General features: G+C 39.6%; 1 protein-coding gene across 15 annotated transcripts in view; it reads right to left on the minus strand.

The window, feature by feature from the left end:
- Positions 1–25,287, minus strand: part of PDSS2 (decaprenyl diphosphate synthase subunit 2) — a 307,003-nt gene that overhangs the window by 90,053 nt on the left and 191,663 nt on the right. For 14 of the 15 annotated variants that reach the window (XM_011535960.4, XM_047419100.1, XM_047419098.1 and 11 more), the window contains one exon: positions 2,934–3,005. In XM_011535960.4, coding sequence (XP_011534262.1) covers positions 2,934–3,005 — 72 coding nt within the window. Of the gene's footprint in view, positions 1–2,933; positions 3,006–21,571; positions 21,899–25,287 lie in introns of those variants that run through there. The other variant, XM_011535963.4, reaches the window with a different exon arrangement.

Genomic DNA, 25,287 nt, shown 5'->3' on the forward strand with positions numbered 1-25,287 from the left:
TTATTGTAACGTCAAACTCCTGGGTTCCAGTGATCCTCCTGCCTCGCCTCAGCATCCTGAGCAGGCATGGGCTACCATGCCCAGTTATTTTATTTTTTGTAAAGATGGGGTCTTCCCATGTTGTCCAGGCTGGTCTTGAACTCCTGGCCCCAAGAGATCCTCCTACCTCGGCCTCCTAAAGTGCTGGGATTATAGGCTTGAGCCACCACACCATTCTGTTTCCATTATTAAAAAAGAATGGCCCTTTAAATGGTTTGGCTATTTTCAGAAATTTAACTGCTTAAAAAAGGGCTATGAGGAGGTGGCAGGGAAAGAGGACAGATGAATGAAGCAGTGCTATAAAGTCTCTTTAATAAAATGTAGCTAATGAAGGTTAGCATTCCTCTGAATCTCTGTATTTAAATAAAGTCAGCAATTGGTGCTTGCTAAGTGGTGGTTCAAGTACAATCAACAGCCCTTCAAAGACTTTGTTGCTTCTTCTTTTCTCTTTTTCAGGAAGAAACACATTAAAAATATTAGAAAAAGCATGGGACTGAGAGTCAAGAAAAACCTGGGTTCATTATGAACTGTGAAACATGTTAATATATTAACAAATAATTTTCAGACACTATGCTTTCCTGCCATTTGTTATGTTTGAATTTCAGGCTTTTCCTCTATAAATGGGAATACCAACAAATGTCACCCTTTTCATAGGTGATTGTGTACAAAGAAAGTATAAGCAAACTGTAAAGGGCTATCTAAGTATTAACTGTCGTAGCTGTCAGGTTTCCCTGACATAAAAAATACTTAAAACATGGTCACACAATTATTAATGAACTGAGCTTATTATAGTGGACAAATGGTAAGAGTAGATAAATTAAGAACCTTAAAACCAACAATAATGCTTTCATGTAAAAATTAACATATTTAATTGTGAAATATAGATATCTTATATGGAACTAAGTTGAACACTCTGGAAATATCCCAAGGGAAAACAGTGTCTCAACAGCCAGAACTGGTCACTATAATTATCATAGAGTGGGATCTCAGGTATGGCAGACAGATGCTATCAAATCAGGTTTCACTAAAGTACAGAAGATATGGGAGCGGGTACGGGGAAGTGCTGGGTAGAGAAAGGCAGGTCCTGGCTGGGGCTCCACTCCTACAGACCTAGGTGAGGACAGGCACTCCTGCTTTTGTGCCTAACTGTTGCATTTTCCAAGACCACTGTGGTCTGCCATGCCCCCATCCTGGGCTGGGCATGGTGGCTCACACCTGTAATCCCAGCACTTTGGGAGGCTGAGGTGGGCAGATCACCTGAGGTCAGGAGGTCAAGACCAGCCTGACCAACATGGAGAAACCCTGTCTCTACTAAAAATACAAAATTAGCCAGGTGTGGTGGTGCATGCCTGTAATCCCAGCTACTTGGGAGGCCGAGGCAGGATAATCGCTTGAACCCAGGAGGCTGAGGTTGTGGTGAGCCGAGATCGTGCCATTGCACTCCAGCCTGGGCAACAAGAGCGAAACTCCATCTCAAAAAAACAAACAAAACAAAACAAAAAAAGAGTCTGGGCTCTTGACTTCAAATCCCTGAGAGCTAACAAGTTGTGTGACCTTGGGAAAATTACTTAACCTTTTCTCAACCCCAGTGTTCACATCTGTAAAATGGGGATAGCAGTAGTACCTATCTCTCAGGATTTCTGTGAGGATTAAATGAAGAAACACAGGCAAATCACTTACTACAGGGTTATTTGCTTAGCTGTTGTCATCTTCATCATACTATCTATACAACGTAACTTTTTACAAGTGGAACTAGACCAGTAGTCACCCATTTTACAATCAGATATTAACCTCCATCCATAGTAGTGAACTTGCATGTCTTTGAAAGGTCCACTGTGGTCATCCATCCTGTGAGGTCTCTGCATACCAATATGCTGCTTAGGTGAGGCCAGATGTGCCTACTAGGAACTGTGGTTACTTGAACCAAACGTTGGCAGATGTCCAAAGTGCAATTCTTCATATTCTAACCAGTCTCTGAACCACCCAGAGTCCCTGGGTTATACTTTTAAATTTTAAATTTCTTATCCAAGTTACTCATGCCCTATGTTTCACTTCTAATAAAATTTATCTTCCTTTTTTCAAATGAAAATGTCAAAAAGCTTAAGATGTGCATATGTGCATACCTTTTCTAATTTGAAGTGAGTGAAATCTTGCTAATACAGAAGCTAAAGAAGTTAGAATAATGAAACACTAAGATAGGAGCCCCTTATAATAGTATCTACCATGTTAAATGATGGTGATGGTCAATGAAGCAATTACTTCACATCTAACATCCTACCGAAATGAAATAACTGCATTTTAAGGAAATGAAACCTAACCTTTCTTGAGATGTCCTGCTAAATGAGTCAAAAAAATCTTAATTCTAGACCTATAAAATTAATCAAAATAATCCAACTGTGCAATCATCCCACTTCTTATAATAAAGAATCTAATAATGCAGTAAATTATGCATCTTGTATATAAAAGATACCCCCATCCCACCTCCCCAACAGTCATCTTCTTAGGCTCAAGGTCCACTCCTCTGTGACACGGAAGGACCCTTCCTCTGGGGAAAGGATGGGCTCAGCTGCCTCAGCACGAGCTGCTCCTCCAGCCTGCCTGCCTGTGACACTGCTACCTGCTAGCCAGAAGCATCCCAGTGTCTACTGAGCTGCTGCAGATTGAACAGACTGTGAATCCAGCCAGAGGATAAGAGGTTGTTTTAATTGGCTAAATCTGCTATGTAGTAAGCGTATGGCCATGAATTTGTAGCCAAAACACTAATCAAAAAAAAAAAAAAAAAAAAAAAAAAAGCCATGTACAATTTAAACACAAAACAAGAATGACATTTTCGTTATTCTAGTTGTACCACGACGGTTTATAACATAACATTTTATGACTCTGAAATCCTTTACCTTTGAAGTAGAATTTTCATGATATACTCCTTGTACCAAGTCCATAAGAGCACTTGCTAAAAGTTCCACAACCTAAAAAGCAAGAAGAAAAATAAAAATAAAAAAATTTAAATATATCTCTATTGTTACCTCAGAATGTTTCAGAAGGCTCAGTGGCAAGGCAGAATTTTTCTGTGCTTGACAGAAAAAATGGGACTATGCACCAAGATCTCAGCAAATGGCATTGCCCACCTGGATATTAAAGCTGTGATCCAAATTTTTTCAGTCATAATTCAAGCCAAAAAAAATCTTATAAGCATAGCATTTAACTAATATACATGAAAATCGAGTAATAGCCATTTTGAACATAAACTTACATTTCAGATAACTAATGAAATCTTAACTCAATTTATTTTCTGCATGTTTATTTCTGTCAGGTGGATACTTTTTCAGTACTCCCATTCTGGGAGCAATTACAATGTTAATTTTCATACTTATTACAGAAAAAAAAGCAAAAGCAAAAGAATGGATAATCTTTCAAATATGTTCATTCTGTTACACTTAAAATGCACTGTGGATATATTTACTGTGGGGTCCCTGGGTCAAATGTACCATAAACACTGAAAATTTTTACAGAACTGTAATACTGAAATCATATTCATCAAACCTGTATTATTTTTCAAGGCTGAGACTTTTTTTTTTTGTTAAATCAAGTGAGATCAAAAGCTTTGAACTTGTTCCAGGATGTAAAACAAGCAGAAAACAGTAAATGGTCTCTTTGGAACTACTGTACAATTTAGAGTAGTTTGCATAAAGCATCTTAATTTGAGAGGATAAAATAGTGGTATTTATGATAATGTTCAATGTAGCCATTTCAAATAAGAATTCCTCAAGGCAACCCCATCCGCTTCTTACAAGTCTTAATATCTTGTATATTTAACTTCCTATGTTATGCAGTCCTGTATCAGATTTCCACTCTTTGCTTCCGAAAATTCAGCTCCATTCTGATTGAATTAAAGGATTTTGTTTCAGCTTTTATCATTCTTGTAATTGAAGACATTATTAAGCCAAAGAATACAGACCCAAACAACAAGATACTTCAATCTCAGGTACCCTGGGTTTAATAAACATTTTCTTAGAGGCAAATGACATTAATTTGTAGAAAGATTTGCTTTAACATTTTAACACATGAGCACTTATCTCCAAATTTATATATTTACGTTTATACTACATAACATACACAGAACTGCTGATATGAAATTTTTGCTGATTAAAGGCATATTTTTTTCCTAGCTCTTTAAGGATGGTTTAATTTGTAAGACATATACAAAGTCTTTTTTATTTTTTTTAAATCACATTGTCCTTCAGGTAACCAAATACTTAAGAAATATTGTAGCAATATGAGCTGCAGAGGAACTGGAAGGACAATGATCCTACAGTGTTACCACATGAGTTGAGTTATTTAAGTGGGGAAGAGAGAAAAATGAATGGATTTTTTTCCCCCTGAAGGTATCAGATAAGCCCTATTCCTAAATCCAGGAGGACTGAGTATCGCCAATAGGTCTATGAAAGACTGTAACTAAACGCACAGCATCAGATTGGATTACAGTTTACACAAGCAACATCCCAAGATCCCCCTGATGGCTGGACACATAATACAGATCAATCACTCACTAAGAAATGTTATGGTTTTGAAACAGTTTGAGCTCTGAGACCAGCATTGGTAACGTGAAGAGGGATTTACAAAGAGAAAGTCTGACGCTAAATGTCAAAATGATGGCATGAACTTTTAACAGTGGATCTGGCTCTGGATAACCAGAGTGTTCCTTTACTTCCCTGAAATTCCAGACCAGGCAGAAGCAACAAGAACATTTTGTTCTCTGACTCTTTTTCTCATTGCGTAAACCTGTCCTTACAAGTTCATAATTTATAAATGACCTGTACTTACAAATGGCTATACTTACTTGAACAGAACACACCTCCACCTCCATAGCCAATGACAACCCATTAAGGAAAAAGCTTTAGATTTCTTTGAGTTAACAAGTCGAGGAAGGAAAGAGATTATAAAAAGCAAGAGTAGCCTAAGAAGTTGAAACTGTTCCAGATAAGGGTGACTTACCCAGTGCACATATCAATCTCTTTACATTGCCTGAAATGTTTATTTTTAAAATTATACCAAAGAAAGATGTGTTTGGTCGGGTGCAGTGGCTCACGCCTGTAATACCAGCAGTTTGGGAGGCAGAGGTGGGTGGATCACCTGAGGTCAGGAGTTCGAGACCAGCCTGGCCAACATGGTGAAACCCTGTCTCTACTAAAAAAAAAAAAAAAAAAAAAAGACAAAAATTAGCTGGGCATGGTGGGGCATGCCTGTAATCCCAATTACTCCGGAGGCTGAGGCAGGAGAATTGCTTGAACCCAGGAGGTGGAGTTTGCAGTGAGCCAAGATCGCAGCGCCACTGCACTCCAGTTTGGGCGACAAGAGCGAAACTCCATCTCAAAAAAAAAAAGAAAGATGTGTTTAAGTATCACCCTTCCTTAAAACTGCAAATATTTCTAGAGAGACCACAAGGCTAGCAGCCACTCACAATTTAGTAAGCTCATTTAATAATCTGACTTTTTTTTGCATATTACCCCAGACATTCACCTGTTTAGATACTGCTATACTTACATTTAAGAAAACACTTGGTTAATAACATATTCCCCCCTCAGATTCTTGAGGAGTGACATGTTCAGGCAACTCAAAGTGCTGGCAGGAATAATGGCAGCCAAAGGAGAATCCAGAGGCCTAAAAGCCAGACCTCTTGGGGCTGAGAGCTGAAGTCCTGTTGCTATAGATAAGTGCAACCTTGAGAAAGATTCCAGGACTTTTGTTTCTCAGGCCCATGGGGCAAGCAAACACTTTCTACTAGGGGAAGAAAAAAAAAAAAAAGAAGGTTCAAAGAGCCTCAATGTGAGTTACCCTTGGAAGCTCAACAGATTAGGGAACTGTTAAAAAAAAAAAAAAAAAAAAAGCAGAATACTAGCAGCCACAGAATCTAGATTCTATTCCAAGGTCTACTAATAATTTGATTGTGAGATTTGGGCAAATCAATTTTTCTGAGCTTTGATTTTCTTCAACTCAATGCAATGAATTGCAATAAAGGGAATTGGAAAAGATGATTCCTTAAGGCCTCTTCCAGCCCTATAATTCTAAGCTTTTACAAATGCAAGTCTTATTATTTATAATTAGGCATGTAAACTTGAAAACTCCTTTTCTGCAAATTTTGATGGAACATCTTTGCTCATGTAATTCATTTTTATCTGTTGTCTTCACATGAACCTTTCCCTCTATCTGAATTCTACTGGCTAATTTCTTTGTGAAACTTTTTGTACCAAATCCCCTTTGGTTTCAATACCTAGAATTATAATAAAACACTTTCCATTTTTCAAAACCATTATGACTGGTAGAGCACCCCATCAACTGGCAAAGTCCTACTTGAGTCAATTAAAGGCAACACTGCTGAGCTCTGATTCTTGAAGGGCTCTAATGCTTGGAAATGATTTATATATACTGGATTCTGAATGACATCAGGCTTAACTGCCAAGTTGCATCAAACAAATAATGGTACTAAGTTGGCCATATCGTGAGTATCTCTAAACAGTAAATACGTAGAGCATTTAGAAGAGAATCTGGAACATAAGTTTCAGTGAGTGTTAACTTATTCTTCTTCCATACTGCCCTATTACCGTGCTATATTCAGTACAAGCCTTGCGTAGATGAACAGCAGAGTATGGAAACCAAGATTATGGTATTTTTAAAATTGTGTGCCTAAATATTTTGGAAGAAAGTGAGTTTTAGTTCAACAACAAAACCCAACCCAGAACACATGCAAAGACCATTTTAACCAAAATCAGGGACCTCTGAAACACTGACTTGCTGCATCCTGAAATATTGTTTTAGATTATACAACAGTCAGCATCAATGTTAAATAGTTTAGCCATCTGGAGAGCAATTAAACAGGACATAACTTTCTGCATTTCTGGTGACTGCGAGAATAGCAGCATTGCTTACCTACACATGCAAATAAAAAAAAAATGCTCTTCTCTTCAGTTTGGGTCATATGTTGAAATACGACTCTACAGCAAAGCCATACACTATCCTTCAATTTCCAGTGAACCTGAAGTGGCAACCACTCCTAATGTAAGTGTCATGAGCTGGCTTCTCCTGCCACCTCCCTTGTTTTGGCTGCTGGGGAGAATGCTGCAGCATAGGACAGTAAATGGACAGTGCATGTCTAGTTGCTATTCTCAAGCAAATTGTTGATCACTCCCATTTCAATAACCACCGTCTCACCCAAGTTAGGAAGAGATAGTATCCAGGTGTATCTGAACCTTAACAAAATTATAGATCTGACATAATTAACCTTTGTGATGAATTTCTTAAATGGTTAATTTACAGGACAAATTTCAGCAATCTCAGGGGAATATATAATTGCTTCATTCTTTATCTTTTGGCAAGGGTAACTACAATTCAATGATTTTTTACACTGAAAAACCAAGATGATGAATACCCTCACAAAGGATATTGTGATGACTATGCCCTGAGCTATAATAAATTCTCATCATAAAAAACAGAAATTGAGAGGAGTAGGGGATGGTAAGACAAAAATACTGACCCCCCCCCGCAAAAAAATCCTCGCATTGCTATCCAAAGATGTCTGTAACATATTCTTAAGGAAAAAAAGCTATTTACAAAATAGAAGTAGTATGAAAGGTATTTTAAAAACAAAAATGAGGTCAATCTATGTGTTTATATACACAAGAGAAAAAGTCTGAAAGGAGAGACAACAAAATAATAATAATGTACAAATGATAGATTCTGGATGATTTTTAATTTAAAAAATTGTTTTCTTCAATCTTTCTGCTTAAATTTATAATTGCTAAGTTTATAACAGCTTACATATATAATGCATTACACTATTTCCCTCTTTTTATTGTATTGCTTTTATAATTAAATAAAACAATAAACCTATTTCCTTGGGGAGGGTGTTGGGGGGGGAAGCATACCTTGTTTATAGTCTCAGAGAGACCTCAAGTTAAGCTATGTTCACAAATTGATTTATGGAATATATCACTCAATAGTTTTTGGACTAGAAAAAATAGGATCAGTAAGTGGCAGTAAGCATTCTGGATAGACAAGTTGTGCCTTTCTCAATAAATGGGATTCAGGAGTACTGTCAGTTAGCACTTGACAGGCTGAATAGACTCAACAGAGTCGTAGATGTTTGACTAGTACAGCAGACCACTCTAATTTGAGCAAAGGAGTGCCTATCCTAAATTAAAATACAAGTAAATTTTTTTTTTTTTGGAGACGGAGTCTCGCTCTGTTACCCAGGCTGAAGTGCAGTGGCACAATCTCAGCTCACTGCAACTTCCATCTCCCGGGTTCAAGTGATTCTCCTGCCTCAGTCTCCCGAGCAGCTGGGACTACAGGTGCCCGCCACCACACCCAGCTAATTTTTGTATTTTTAGTAGAGACAGGATTTCACCATGTTGGCCAGACTGGTCTCGGACCCCTGACCTTGTGATCTGCCTGCCTCGGCCTCCCAAAGTGCTGGGATTACAGGCGTGAGCCACCGCACCCGGCCACAAGGAAATCTTTAGAAAAAATGTAAACTATAAGGTAACATGGCTCAATTAAAGCTCAAGTCAGCATAATATGATTGATGTAATAAGGTAGTATGGTTGCATTTTAATTCACTTGAAAAAGGTTGCTTTATAACTTAATTTGCTTGGTATATAAAAACTGTGAAGGCCATTACAGATTTGTAATCTTCTTGCAAAAATTTGTCCTCAGGTGATTTTAATGATGGATTTACTACAGTGTGGAATGAAAAACATGTCCATCACTCTATTTGGAGGTGAATAACACGGCACCCCTCAGCCTTTACTGCTTTGAGCTGCTAGCAAAGAAAACAGTCATGTGTGTTCATGTGTGTGCATGTACATCTGCAGTGCTGATGGCATTAACTATGCACAACTTTACTGCGCTCTTTCCTCCACCCCCAGGAACAAACAGCAATGCATGAAGTAGTAGCAAAGGTAAAACACTCTTGGGGAAGAATGAATTTTCATATACATCTTGGGAGGAACAAAAGATGGATTTAGTCTCTTTTGAAAGAGCTTTGGAATTTGAAGGGATATTGTCAAAATTTCTTTTTGAGCCACAAAAACTCTTATCAGTGAAAATATCTTACAGAAAAATACTGAGAGGGTGCTGAATAGGCCGATAAAGGTAACCAGAGCAGGTGGTGTCACTCTTTACTTCATAAAAATGAAGCACAAACTATTTGTGAGACGCATATAAAGATGGAAAGATTTATATTGCCAAGATAAGGTATAGAGGGACTAAAGAGTGGCACCCTCCCATAGAGACCAATAATAATGTCTAACATTTGTAAAGCACTTTATCATTTACAATTGGATTTAAGCAAACCATCTAATTCCAGGTAGATTCAGTCCCCAGTGCTCAGCCAGAGCTTCCAGGCTGGCAGCCTCAGTGGAGAAACGACTTCTGAAGAACACAGGGCACAGCAGCAGTGGCCAAATGAGGGGTGAATCTACTCACCCACCACCTGGGCACGAACTACCCAGATGAGCCCTACTCTGCATGCTGATTAAAATAAATGAGGGCTTTGATAAAGCCATCGCTAAAGTCTCTGAAAGGATGGCTCTCTCCACTTCTTCCTATCAAACTAGGACTGGGTTTAATGTAGACAATGATGAAAGGGCTGTTGCAATAAGCACACCAACTCATAGGAGTTCTGGAGGAAGCTTCTAACTCAGTTTTTTGAAGGGAGCCTTTTCAGTACTGCCAAATGTGTAAGGCTTTGCTTATTTGTGGGAGGGATGGCAATCTGTTCTAGTGAGCTGGAAGTTCTTTCTGGCTAAGGGGGTAGCGAAGAGAGAGAAATGGCACTACCAACAGGACAGGTGCAGCAAAAACTAAGCAAATTGATAATCTTAATTTTTAATTTAGAACAGCTGATACATTGGTTCATAAACTAACTACTGGTAACATTTGTCAAAAAGGTTTCAGGAAAATTCAGTGAACTAAACAAAAGTATAAAATTGCAACTGAGGCTAGATGCAGTGGCTTACGCCTGTAATCTCAGCACTTTGAGAGGCCGAGGTGGGAGGATCACTTGAGCCCAGGAGTTCGAGACCAGCCTGGGCAATATAGTGAGATACCCATCTCAACAAAAAATGAATGAAAGTTCTATTTTTAAAATCGCAACTGATACAACTTGAAAGAAATAGGCCACAAATTCAGGAAGATGGCTTAAATATGAAGTTTAATTTTATATTGGCTGGTGGATTCATTTCATGAACAGTTTGATATCCTACTATGTGCCTGGTACTGTACTAATGAAACTAGTCTCGTTAGGCCACAGTTATACATGAGACACTACCAAAAAGATCTAAATCAAAATTCCTTTATTCAATTAATACATATAAAAATGTTTGTGGTTTATTTTATTATTTTTTGAGATAGAGTCTCGCTCTGTCACCCAGGCTGGAGTGCGGTGGCTTGATCTTGGCACATTGCAACCTCCACCTCCCGGGTTTCAGCAATTCTCCTGCCTCAGCCTCCTGAGTAGCTGGGATTACAGGCGTGCGCCACCACGCCTGGCTAATTTTTGTATTTTTTTTAGTAGAGACGGGGTTTCACCACACTGGCCAGGCTGGTCTCGAACTCCTGATCTCATGATCCGCCCGCCTCGGCCTCCCAAGTGCTGGGATTACAGGCGTGAGCCACTGCACCCGGCCATGTTTGTGGTTTAAGTATCACTAAGGGACCATGTCTAAACAAGTCTAATAAATAACTTTTACATTTACTTTTTTTGCAGTGTTTTTAAATTATAGTTGTTCTTTTTAAAGGATACATTGTCTAGATAAATAACTTCATAAAGATAAAGGCCATTTATTGGTTTTTGATCACTCAGAAGGTTAATACGTAAGTTGCAAGACCTTGGGCCAACCATGTCACTTCTTTGCCCCTCAGTTTGCTTATCTAGATAAGAGGTTTCTGTGTTTTATCAACAATAAGTCCTATGATTAGAAATATTTAAATGTGCAGCTATATACATTTTTAATTCACAATTGTGAGATACAGTAAAAAATAGTTTTTTTAGCTACAATAAAAGAGTAATAAAAAAACTGATTTTACTTTTGAATAAAGGTGCATGGTCTTGGACTACTGAAGCAATGCCAAATAGTCATTTATTGATCACTGACTCATTTATTTGTTTAAACAACAATTAGGTTCCTGAAAAAGTAGCAGACAATTTAAAGCGCTTAAGATGAAAATTTTCAGTGAGGTGTGGTAGCTCGTGCCTGTAATCCCAACACTTTGTGAGGCCAAGGTGGGAGGATCACTTGAGGCCAGAAGTTTTGAGACTAGCCTGGGCAAAACACTGAGATCCCATCTCTATGAAGCAATTTTCTTTTCTTTTTCTTTCTTTCTTTCTTTTTTTTTTTTTTTTGAGACAGAGTCTCACTCTGTCTCCCAGACTGGAATGCAGTGGGACGATCTCGGCTCACTGCAACCTCTGCCTCCCGGGTTCAAGTGATTCTCCTGCCTCAGCCTCCTGAGTAGCTGGGATTACAGGCGTCCACCACCATACCTGGCTAATTTTTGTATTTTTAGTAGAGATGGGGTTTCACCATGTTGGTCAGGCTGGTCTTGAACACCTGACCTCGTGATCTGCCCACCTTGGCTTCCCAAAGTGGTGGGATTACAGACGTGAGCCACTGCGCCTGGCCGAAAAATAATTTTTTTTAAAGATAAAAATTTTCATAAGAAATAAAGAAAAAGGAGACGTTTTCCAGCAGATTTTTTAAAAAGTTGGTTGTGTCAAGTATTTTGCATTACTATAAAAACTATAATAAATAGTTGCTGAGAATTGAATACTTGGTCATGAAACAAACAAGCAACGTAAAACTGATTATCATATAGCAGTTAGTTGCTTTATTTTCCACCTTCCCCCAGTATGGGAATTGCTGAATATGAAGTCTGTTGTACTCAGGATATACCATTCTCAGTATGTTCTTTACCTAGCGACACTGCCGCATGTTGTTCTGACAGAATTCTGAGAGAATTATCCTTGCCATTTTAGTGTTGGGCCCATTTTTATTCAATGTGGCTGATGAGCTCCATTTTGCTTTCACTGCTTCTTCATCTGGAGACCCTCTCAGTGATGTAAACTGAAAGACTGTTGTTGGCTAGCACACTGCCTTCTATTAGTGGCTTTCAATACACATTGTGACACAGTATAAATACATGTGCATATATAAAACTACATTTTTTTTTTTTTAGATGGAGTCTCGCTGTGTCACCCAGGCTGGAGTGTAGTGGTGTGATCTCGGCTCACTCCAACTGCCACCTCCCAGGTTCAAGCGATTCTCCTGCCTCAGCCTCCCGAGTAGCTGGGATTACAGGTGCCCATTACCATGCCCAGCTAACTTTTGACTTTTGTATTTTTACTAGAGACGGGGTTTCACCATGTTGGCCAGGCTGGTCTCGAACTCCTGACTTTGTATTCCCAAAGTGCTGGGAATACAGCCGTGAGCTACCACGCCTGGCCAAAATTAAATTAAAAGTTTCATTATGTAATTTTCTATTGCATTCTATTTTTTTTTTTTTTTTGAGATGGAGTCTCTGTTGCCCAGGCTGAAGTGCAGTGGTGTGATCTTGGCTCACCCCAACCTCGACCTCCCGGGTTCAAACAATTCTCCTGCCTCAGCCTCCCAAGTAGCTGGGATTACAGGCGTCTGCTACCACGCCTGGCTAATTTTGCATTTTTAGTAGAGATGGGGTTTTGCCATGTTGTCCAGGCTGGTCTCAAACTCCTAGCCTCAGGTGATCCACTGGCCTCAGCCTCCCAAAGTGCTGGGATTACAGGCGTGAGCTACCACGCCAGGTCCTATGGCTTGAACCCGGGAATCGCTTGAACCCAGGAGGCGGAGGTTGCGGTGAGCCGAGATCGTGCCATTGCACTCCAGCTTGGGCAACAAGAGTGAAACTCCATCTCAAAAAAAAAAAAAAACAAACAAAAAGTATTGATAGTGATTCACTAAATTGATTTCACCACTCCCCAATGAAAAGGATGTGATCTGTGGTTTGAAACATTATTCAATATCATGCTGAAAAATGTTATGTATAGTTCATACCTTGTTAGTCCTTGTAATTACACACAAGGTCTTCCAAATTTTTGATGCAGTTTAAACATTGTTACTCTAAAATATATTTTTAGAGGTATTTATTTCTTTATCACTTTTTACCAAAAACATGTAAATGAAGTGAAGGTAAACAGAGAGGCAAGATAAAACAGAATCATTCTTGGGTACTATGGAGTATATTCTATTAGGGTGCATTTCAATCTTGTAGGCTTGTATCAATAATGCTGATGCTTAGCTTCATTTTTTTTGTTTTTGTTTTCTGAGACAGAGTCTCACTCTGTCGCCCAGGCTGGAGTGCAGTGGTGCCATCTTGGCTCACTGTAACCTCCCCGTCCCAGGTTCAAGCAATTCTCCTGTTTCAGCCTCCCGAGTAGCTGGGGCTACAGGTGCATGCCACCATGCCCGGCTAATTTTCGTATTTTTAGTAGAGACAGGTTTTCACCGTGTTGCCCAGGCTGGTCTCGAACTCCTGACCTCAGGTGATCCACCCACCTCGGCCTCCCAAAGTGCTGGGATTACAGGTGTGAGCCACGGTGCCCTGCCTGATGCTTAGCTTGGATCCTGTTAGATTCCTGAAAACAAATTGGCTTAGATAACATTTGGCCAAAGAGCTAAAAATTTCAGTAATTTCCTAGGAGTCACAGATACATCTTGCAAATTCCAGTGCTGCCATGTCTTTTGGGTAACACAGTTCACTTTCCAGCTCAAGCAGTTCCTCTTCAAATTGGGCCACACTAAAAGGCAGGTGTTTGTAATTCAGAGACATCCCAAGGTTTGTACTCTAAAGGCAGGCACAGAAATAAAATCATGATTCGTGTGCCTTAAAATCCATGCAATTTGACTAAAGCTGTAATTGTATTTCTTCCAAATAACTCTGAAGCTCTTCAAAATCCACAAATCAATGGAATTCTAAAAATAACTGATGCTACTAGTACTGTGTTCTAAAAAATTAAGTAATCTTTTTTTTCCTTCCTTCAAATTATCAGGTAGAAATTTGGGGGCCGGGCACAGTGACTCATGCCTGTAATTCCAGCACTTGGGAGGCTGAGGTAGGAGAAGCCTCTGAGCCCAAGAGTTTGAGACCAGCCTGGGCAACATAGGGAGATCCTGTCCCAGAAATAAATAAATTAATTAATTAACAATAATAGAAGAGGCCAGGCGTGGTGGCTCACACCTGTAATCAGCACTTTGGGAGACCGAGGCAGGTGAATCACTTGAGGACAGGAGTTGGAGACCAGCCTGGTTAACATGGCAAAACCCCATCTCTATTAAAAATACAAAAATTAGCTGGGTGTGGTGGTGGGCGACTGTAGTCCCAGCTACTCAGGAGGCTGAGGCAGGAGAATCTCTAGAACCTTGGAAGTGGAGGTTGGAGTGAGCCAAGATCATGCCACTACACTCCAGCCTGGGTGACAGAGCGAGACTCTGTCTCACAAATAAAATAAAATGAAATAAAATAAATCTGGGATTGGCCACATTGTACCCTTGGATCAAATAATGGATACCCTGGGCCAGGCACAGTGGCTCATGCCTGTAATCCCAACACTTTGGGGGCTGAGGTGGGAGGATGGCTTCAGGTCAGGAGTTTGAGACCAGCCTGGGCACCATAGAGAGACTCTGTGTCTACAAAAACTTCAAAAAATTAACAAGGCATGGTGTCTTGCGCTGTAGTCCCAGCTACTCAGGAGGCTGAGGTGGAGGATTACCTGAGCCTGTGAGTTCGAGGTTACAGTGAGTGACAATAGCCCCACTGCACTCCAGCCTGGGGTACAGAGTGAGACTCTGTCTCATTAAAATAATAATACAAATAAATAATAATAATGGACATACTTGGGTTAGAAATACTCCAATCTATAAAGATATACATACAATTGGCTTTTTTTTTTCTTCCCCTGAGACAGGATCTCTATCACACAGGCTGGAGTGCAGTGGTGCAATCTTGGCTCACTGCAGCCTCCACCTGCCAGGTTTAGCAATTCTTGTGCCTTGACCTCCCAAGTAGCTGGGATTACAGGTATGCCCCACCACACCCAGATAATTTTTGTATTTTTAGTAGATACAGAGTTTTGCTATATTGGTCAGTGGTATTAAACTCCTGGCCTCAAGTGATCTGCCCACCTCGGCCTCCCAAAGTGCTGGGATTAGGGGTGTGAGCCACCACTCCTGTCCCAGTTGGGTTTTAAACTGGTATTTCTCATGCTTCATGCAATGCACACACAAAAATTTTTTTTGAATTAACAATACTGTTTTAGTATGTGACTTACTTGTGTAAATCACAACTGTTTCAATATAAATGTGAATTATCACTTTGCTCAATCAATATTATCAGAAATTTACATTTGTACATTACCTTATAGCCTTTAAAGTACTTGAACAAATTAAGCCATATATAAAATTTTCAACACAAATCCGCCATAAAGATGAGTTTACCAATTTGGGGTACTGCTTTAGATTGCTGAAATATGCACAAAAATCTTTAGCTCTCTGATTTTATATAAGATATTGGCTTCTCTGTTACTTTCCTGACTTTATTAACAATTTCCTTGATTATAATCATTTTGTTTTTCTTCATGTGTCATGCCATTTTCAGGATCTGGTTATAAGATGCAAGTTTAGACTCTTTCCTACAACATCTACAACATTTGGAACCATAGAATATTGGAACCAGCAAGGATCTAAGAGATGGACATGATGCTGCCTTTATTTTTTTAGAAAACTAAAAAAAAAAAAAAAAAGTTGCTTTTGCTTATAAGTTGCTAATTTAAAATGTTTCACCGGGCACAGTGGCTCACGCCTGTAATCCCAGCACTTTGGGAGGCCGAGGCAGGCAGATCACCTGAGGTCAGGAGTTCAAGACCAGCCATAGCCAACATGGCAAAACCCCATCTCTACTAAAAATACAAAAATTAGCTGGATGTGGTGGTGGGTGCCTATAATCCCAGCTACTTGGGAGGCTGAGGCAGGAGAATCACTTGAACCTTGGAGGCGGAGGTTGCAGTGAGCTGAGATTGTGCCACTGCACTCCAGCCTGGGCAACAGTGAGACTCCGTCTCAGAAAAAAAAAAAGTTTCATGAAGCCCCTATCAATGTTTGTATTGAAATATGTATTCCAATATTTAGAAACTAATAACCGTTTAAGATACCATAAATTCCAGGATTGATAACTGCAAAATTGTTGGCAAAAATGTATCATGGTTCTTTGTTGGTCTGTCAGTTTTCTACTTTAGTAAAGCATGAGGATTTTGCAGTCAGATTGCCTGGATTTAGACAGCAACTCTACCATTTATTAGCAGTGTTACCTTGAGGGAAATTACTTATCCTTTCCCTGTACCTCAGGAGACATTAAATGGGTTAATATAGATAAAGCACTTAAAACAGTGCCTACCGTATAGTAAGCCCTCAAAAATATAAATTGTTATTTCTAAAATATTTGATGGTAATTTTAATGATTAAATTTTCTACAACTATAAAGTTTCTAATTTCAGTGATAAAAATGGGGAATTAAGATATCAGATAGACTGAAATAATAGATGGATGAATGAATGATCTGAATTTGGAATTCTGAGAGGTAAAATGAAGAGTTCAATGTTAAATGGCTTATTGGGGGATAAAAAGAAACAAAAGAAAAAATGAGGCCAGGCGTGGTGGCTCACATCAGAAATCCCAGCATTTTGGGAGGCCAAGGTGGGCGGATCACCTGAGGTCAGGAGTTCAAGACCAGCCTGGCCAACATGGTGAAACCCCACTTCTACTAAAAATACAAAAAAAAAGGAAAAAATTAGCCGGGCGTGGTGGCACATGCTTGTAATCCCCGCTACTTGGGAGGCTGAGGCAGAAGAATCTCTTGAACCCAGGAGGCGGAGGTTGCAGTGAGCTGAGATCGCACCACTGCATTCCAGCCTGGGCGACAGAACAAGACTCTGTCTCAAAAAAAAAAAATAGAAAAAAGAAAAAATGAAAGAGAAAAAAAGCCAAGGCTAGGAATTCGGTCCACAGACTTCTACTTTATGGTTCTTTCCACTTCTCTTTGTAGCTTTACATGTCATCTCTAGGAATGTAAAATACATAAGTGCTATGTAGCTCAACACATTATGAAAATATAAGTGATCCCCAAGAGTGTAGCTAAAACTGTTATTAGTAAACAGTTACTCTGATATTCTAAACAGGGAAACTATCCTTTAAAAACCAAAGACTTGATTTGCAATATAGTTTTGGTGTTTCCAGATTTCTGCCTGACTTTACACCCTGAAAATGGTCCCAGAACAATGACAATTAAGCCATAGGAATGACAACAAACAATTTAATGAAATTTCCAGAATGCTTAAAAAGAAACTTGCTTGGCACAGCCATACTTTCCAACAAACCCACTTTAAAGTTTTCACAGTTTACAATATCAGAAATGACCTCAGGGTCAGGCATTTGTCAGTTAATGACCTGTTGGGCTAATGGCCTTCAGCTTTGCCTTAGGCACATAAGTCCTCCAGTAGGTCATTAGCTGCCAGAAAAGGGCTCTTCCCAATCACTATGGCTAAATAAATAAAATTTGCTCCTGGGCTAAGACCCTATAAACCAACTTTGGCTTAGACTAAGTAAATTTTTTGTTGCGTATTTACAACTTTAAGAATTTAAGAAAATGATGGAAATGCTAAAACCAAAATTACATTAACATGACTGAGCTATATGTGGCTATCAATGAGGAAAGTAGTCACATAGACTCTTGGATGAGCTTAAATTTTCTTTTGCTTATGGTATTCAAATTCAGTTGAACCTCACATCATGGTTGGCCATGAGAAATAGAAATATATTGACTATGGCAATATTATATATAATACATTTAGCAACCTTGATCTTTGTAAATCCCATTTCCTACCTTCCAGAAGTAAAATTAATTAAATCAGTCTTCCCCCTTCATTTTTTTTTTTTTTTTTTTTTTTGAGACGGAGTCTGGCTCTGACGCCCAGGCTGGAGTGCAGTGGCGCAATCTCGGCTCACTGCAAGCTCCACCTCCCGTGTTCAAGCCATTCTCCTGCCTCAGCCTCCCGAGTAGCTGGGACTACAGGCGCCCGCCACTATGCCCGGCTAATTTTTGTATTTTTAGTAGAGATGGGGTTTCACCGTGTTAGCCAGGATGGTCTCGATCTCCTGACCTTGTGATCTGCCCACCTCAGACACCCAAAGTGCTGGGATTACAGGCTTGAGCCATCGCGCCTGGCCCCCCCTCCATTTTCATGGACATTTGCTAGATCTCCAAAGCCAGAGCGAGAAAAAAAATCTATTTTCAAGTTTGAGTGATTCAGTACTCTTCTTTTCCCTTTCTAATGGTCTCACCTGAGGAACTTTCTGAGTTAGGAGTTTACTAAGTACTGGGTGGATAGACAGCTGATTCCTGCCTTCGCATCTGCAGCTGCCTATCTCTTCTCCATCTATCCTTTCTTCACTCCAGCAGGCTTGTATACTGTGTCTCTTTCTGTCCCTTCCCAAATCTCATGTTGAATTGTAAACCCCAATGCAGGAGGTGGGGCTGGTGGGATGTGTTTGGATCATGGGGGCAGATCCCTTATGGCTTGGTGCTGTCTTCACAATAGTGAGTGAGGTCTTGGGAGATCTGGTAGTTTAAAAGTGTGTGGCACCTCCTTCCCGTTGCTCCTGCTTTCACCATGTGACGTCCCTGCTCCCACTTTGCCTTCTGCCATGATTGTAAGCTTCCTAAGGCCTTCCTAGAAGCTGAGCAGGTGCAAGCACCATGCTTCCTGTAAAGCCTGAAGAACCATAAGCCAATTAAACCTCTTTTCTTTACAAAATTACCCAGTCTCAGGTATTTCTTTTCTTTCTTTTTTTTTTTTTTTTTTGAGATGGAGTTTCACTCTTTCCCCTAGGCTGGAATGCAGTGGCGCAATCTCAGTTCACTGCAACCTCCGCTTTTGGGTTCAAGCAATTCTCCTGCCTCCGCCTCCCGAGTAGCTGGGATTATAGGTGCCCGCCACCATGCCCGGCTAATTTTTTGTATTTTTAGTAGAGATGGGGTTTTGGCATGTTGGCCAGGCTGGTCTCGAACTCCTGACCTCAGGTGATCAACCTGCCTGGGCCTCCCAATGTGCTAGAATTACAAGTGTGAGCCACCGTGCCTGGCCCGTCTCAGGTATTTCTTTTCTTTCTTTTCTTTTTTTTTTTTTTTTTTTGAGATGGAGTCTGGCTCTGTTGCCCAGGCTGGAGTGCAGTGGTGCGATCTTGGCTCACTCCAAGCTCCGCCTCCCTGGTTCACGCCATTCTCCCGCCTCAGCCTCCTGAGTAGCTGGGACTACAGGCGCCCGCCACCACGCCCGGCTAATTTTTTTGCATTTTTGTAGAGACGGGGTTTCACTGTGTTAGCCAGGATGGCCTCGATCTCCTGACCTCGTGATCTGCCCGCGCGGCCTCCCAAAGTGCTGGGATTACAGGTGTGAGCCACTGTGCCTGGCCTGCCTCAGGTATTTCTTTATCGCAATGCAAGAACAGCCTAACACACTGTTCACAACTCGGTTAATTTCACCTCACGTAATCTCTAAAGTGTATATACATCCTCTTCAATCTTCATCCTCCAGTTTTCTATTCTTTCTCCTTTTACTTATTATTTCAGAAAAATTGCCACTCACCTTCTTGACTTCTACTTTCTCCTTTCAAGAAGACATAAACCAAGGATCTTCAAGTTGAGAAACATCAGAGGAAAGCAAGATTTCTCTCGTGCTAAGAAAAAGGAAAATTGGGCCAGGCAAGGTGGCTCACACCTGTAATCCCAGCATTTTGGGAGGCTTGAGGCGGGCAGATCACGAGGTCAGGAGATCAAGACCATCCTGGCTAACACGGTGAAACCCCACCTCTATTAAAAATACAAAAAATTAGCTGGGCATGGTGGCACGTGCCTGTAGTCCCAGCTATTTGAGAGGCTGAGGTAGGAGAATCACTTGAACCTGGGAGGCAGAGGTTGCAGTGAGCCAGGATCGTGCCACTGCACTTCAGCCTGGGTGACAGAATGAGACTCTGTCTCAAAAAAAAAAGAAAAAAAAAGGAAACTTGGCTGGGCACAGTGGCTTACGCCTGTCATCTCAACACTTGGGGAGGCCAAGGATCATTTGAGCCCAGGAGTTCAACACTGGCCTGGGCTAGATAGTCCGGCCTGGGCAAGGTAGTGAGACCTTGTCTCTATTACAAAAAATAAAGAAATAAAAATAATTAAAAAAATAAAAAAGGTAATATTAGAAATGAAATATGCATTAAAAAACCAGTGCCTACCCTCATCCTCTTATTAAACCAAATTTCCCTTTATATGTCAACATTTAAAAATAATTTAACAAATATTTCTTGTTCAGTTTGTTTTCCTATTTTATTTATTTGCAGGTATTGTAGAATGCAGATTTTTTTTTTTCTTTTTAAAAAGGGTGTCCTTGGCCAGGCGCGGTGGCTTACGCCTGTAATCTCAGCACTTTGGGAGGCCGAGGTGGGTAAATCACCTGAGGTCTGGAGTTCAAGACCAGTCTTGCCAACATGGCGAAAACCCATCTCTATTAAAAATACAAAAATTAGCCAGGCATGGTGGCAGGCGCCTGTAATCCCAGCTACTCAGGAGGCTGAGGCAGAAGAATCGCTTGAGCCCAGGGGGCAGAGTTTGCAGTGAGCCGAGACTGAGCCACTGCACTCCAGCCTGGGTGACAGAGCAAGACTGAAAAAAAAAAAAAGGGTGTCTTTGAATGCCAGGCATATGGAAGAAACATGTAAGCTGCTCTTGCTCTTTTTCCTTGTTGTTAGGTTTCTGGTTTGATACTCAGAGAAATGTCAATTTCACCTGATGGCATTTAACCTTCCTGTGCCAAAAAGCTACTACATTCCATTGTCTTGTGGCTTCAAAATGGGCAAAGTTCCAGGTTTTAATATTATTTAAAATTCGTCTTATTTCTAGTATAATTTGCACACACTAATCATTTATTACTTTCACTTTAAAGATCAAGGAAGCATGACCAGAAAATGGATACAGTCTCTGTTTAATATGTGACTATATTAGCAAATCAGAAAAAAACTGAAGAAGCTAATTTTGGGATTCTGAAATAATTTTATGATGGCATTTTGACTTTTCTAATTAATTGATATGGAGATAGTCTCTTTTACTGTTATACTATATGACACCCCACTTACCACCTTCTGCATCCCTTTACCCTAGTCATGCAAATCTACACTTGAGTGGGTTACATGTATAAAAAATATTAACCTTGGGTGTCAAACTAAAGAGCCTAAAAGATATTAAATAATTTCCACAAGTAAAATAGTGCAAGCAAAACTATAAACACTATCATAATAATGCCTATTTTAAATGCATAAGACAGGGAAAAACTTAATACATGTTTTTAGGTTTCAATTTAACATGAATTTGGAAGTAAAATTACTATAACAGATAAGACAAACACAAATAGACAATAGCATCTTTATTAAACTATATAGATGGTGTAAAGGGAGATTTATATGCATAAATTGAGCATATTTGTACAAACAAAATACTTCATTTTAAACAACATATTTACGCCTTTAGGAAAACAAAGTTAACATAAGGAAATACATCAGCTATGTAAAGAGTACATCTGTGCCACTGGTTATCCGGAAGTATAAATCACTAATGCTTAATAGAACAACCTCCAGGAGTGACATCATGACAATGCTCTTGGGTGTTTAGACAAGATCCAGGCTGACTCACAGTCTCCCATCTGATATATAGCAATAGGTCCATTAAATGAAAATGACTACAAAGAAAAAAAAATAACGTGATAAATTCCATTCTTTAAATACTAGGCTTATCATTATATATGTAAAGTAAAAGACTTTTCAAAAACAAGATGACAGGTAGTAATCCACACAGTCTTATTTGCACTGTGGCTTAATCCTAAATACAAACCCAGTCTAAATAAATACAAAGACCAGAGGAAGCCTGTTAATGGCCAGCTAGATTTCGAAATTATAGTACTTCTCCACTTCATGATTTCCCTTCCAATTAGTTAGCATGTCTCACTGATAGCTTGCTGCTCAAACACTAAAATTTTAGATTCTGGCATGACCACATCACTACAGCATCCAGTGATGTTCTACATGGACACAATATAGAGCAACTTATCCCAATGGAATCAGGAAATTTATGATTTAAAAAGAGGCATTCTGAGGTCTTTTAGTCCAGGTCTTTGTACAGTGAAGTACTAAAATAAAAACTTGCCCTTATGTTCCATAATTGAAAATGAATGAAAACCCAAGCATTAATTTTTAAATTCCCTCTTGAATTCAAAATCTTGTTAATTTGCATTTATGTGACTACAGCTATAATGGTAAGAAGACAATTACCAGAGGATTAATAAACAATTTCTATACTTGAAGATATTTAAAAATCTAAGTGTTACCTAAGGCAATTACCTTGAAGACCCCTAATATCTTCAGGGAAAAGCCAAAGGGAAAATAATTGACTCTGCTAATTTTACCCTTGGCAATTATAAAACAGCTCTGAATTTCATTTGACTGCAGAACCCTTCATCTAATGGCCTGCCCCATGAGAAGTACAGAGATAAACACATCATATAGAAATTCAGACAAGAATCCAGTAGCACAAGAAAATGAGAAATTGGTAGAATGAATAAGTCATAAAAAATTAAAGTTGTTACAAATATGCCAACTTTAATTACCAATATACATCCTCAAAGAAAAAGCAGGCTGTCACTGTGAAAAAACAGTGACATATTATAAACAGAAATTCTGTATTAAGTTTTGCCTGTTTCCTCTTGCTGTGGTATCTATTTATGTTGCTATTGTTGACAAATTTTCTTTCTTATAAAAGAAAACTAAAACATCATTAAATAGAATCTAACTTTACCAAGACATTAAGCATATGTAGAGATAAGAAAACTTGGCCAGGTGCGGTGGCTCACGCCTGTAATCCTAGCACCTTGGGAGGCTGAGGCAGGTGGATCACCTGAGGTTAGGAGTTCAAGACCAGGCTGCCCAACATGGCAAAAACACATCTACTAAAAATACAAAAATTAGCCAGATGTGGTGGTGGGCACCTGTAATCCCAGCTACTTGAGAGGCTGTGGCAGGAGAATCACTTGAACCCGAGAGGCGGAGGTTGCAGTGAGCCAAGATCGTGCCACTGCACTCCAGCCTGGGCAACAAGAGCAAAACTGTCTCAAACAAACAAACAAACAAACAAAACGCAAAAAACTTACTACACTACTACTTCAAAGAAATATTTATCGCCACCTCCTCCTTCTAAAAAAACCATAGTTACTATTATACTTAATCAACTTAAGCTTCTGGGAGCTCATTTGATAAAATAAGTCCTCTTCTGAGATATAACTTCACTTTCCTTAAATTATTCTGATGAAAATATTGCCAAGTATTTAAATGAAAGAAACTGGCTCTGAATATGGGAGATTTGCTTTATCAGAGGGAATTCCTGACTTTCAAGAACTTTAGTAATTCACAATCTCCTCAGTTTAAAATACTGTTCACCTGATTTGGAAATCATCTATTACGATTAAAAGAGAGCTACTAAAAGCCTTGATTTGGAGAAGATCAATTACAGACCCTGGGCATGGTTCTTAAGGTCTTTCACAAAAAGTGAACCCCTGAGGCATTTTTTTTTTTTTTTCTGAAATTGACCTGGTAGAGCCTTCAATGACCCTTTGAAGAACAAGGTGCAAAAGATTCACGTTTGAGATTAACAGGAGGGCTGCACAGAATAAAGCCTTCAATTCAACATACAACTATCAAATTCAGAAAAAAACATATCATAGCCTAAAAAGGAAAAAATTCCTCACCAGAGAAAGGTTGATAAAATGCAAATTTAAAGGTGTAAACCTGTGCAGAGACCATGAAGTTATGAGGCTCACTGAAGGGGAAGGAAATGCCAGATCATTCTTATTTCAAGAAGCTTCAGGCTGAATAGTTGCTTGGATATGCTAAGTTTTTCTTTTTCTTTTTCTAAATCAAGTAGTGCTACTGAAATCCAGTGCCTAATGGAGCAGATGGTGGAGGTCTTAGACTCTGGAACATTTATAGTGATGCTTCTGAATGCAAAACACCAAGAGTGGATTTCACAGGCTGTGAATCTGATTTGATTTTGATGGGAGTAAAGCTTCCATTTTCACTGTACTTGAACCACATTGAAAAAAAGCATGTGTGACTGACACAAGCTAGTTAAGAAAAAGGAACATGTTAAATATTAGTCCCATAAAGGGAAGCAGTTTAAACAAGTGATTATTTGTTTGTATCATTTAACATGATTATGTTTGTATACAATACCACCGTTTGAACCTTATGTAAGATTTCATCAGAATAGTTCAAAGTTAAAACAAATGATTACAGAAAACAAATAGAAATTTGTCCAAAGGCAACGAGTCTTGGTTTTCTAAGGTGGCAACTATACCGAGGCAAATTACCAAAATGTGGACCTAGGTACTATCAAGGTCCAGAATATCTCCTCCCCTCAGCTTTGTAGGTCTAATCCATGAACGGCCAGCCTGTGAAGCTAGAGCTGGTCATGTGCAGCTCAAGGTGTCCAGACACTATGTCAGATCTGCACTTTCTGAGGCCTCTTTCTTCTCTAAACAAGGGCTAAGTTTTATCACAGACCACTGCAAATATGGTGAAAAGGAGAGATGGATGATACAGTTTGTGAGTCCCAGGGGCAAAGAACCACTCACCTTCTGTTAACATGTGAATTCCAGTGAAGGAGAGAATTTAGTGGGACCCGTCAAAGTATACTATATGCATAAAGGAGAGAGACATTTGAGATGAAATAAAATAGAATTGGAGAGAGACATCAGATTCTCTTTCTTTTTTTTTTTTTTTTTTGAGACAGGGGCTCTATTGCCCAGGCTAGAGAAACAGTGGTGCATTCATAGCTCAATGCAGTCTCCAACTCCTAAGCTCAAGAAATCCTACCACCTCAGCCTGCTGAGTAGCTAGGACTAACAGCATGCACCACCATGCCTGTTTTTTGTTTTTTGTTTTTTTTTTCTGTAGAGACAGGGTCTTGCTATGTTGCCCAGGCTGGTCTCCAACTCCTGGGCTCAAGCTATCCTCCCACCTCCATCTCCCAAAGTACTGGGATGATAGGCATGAGCCACCATGCCTGACCAAGATTCTC

Source organism: Homo sapiens, chromosome 6, assembly GCF_000001405.40.
Source record: "Homo sapiens chromosome 6, GRCh38.p14 Primary Assembly".
In the NCBI taxonomy this organism is placed as follows: Eukaryota; Metazoa; Chordata; class Mammalia; order Primates; family Hominidae; genus Homo; species Homo sapiens.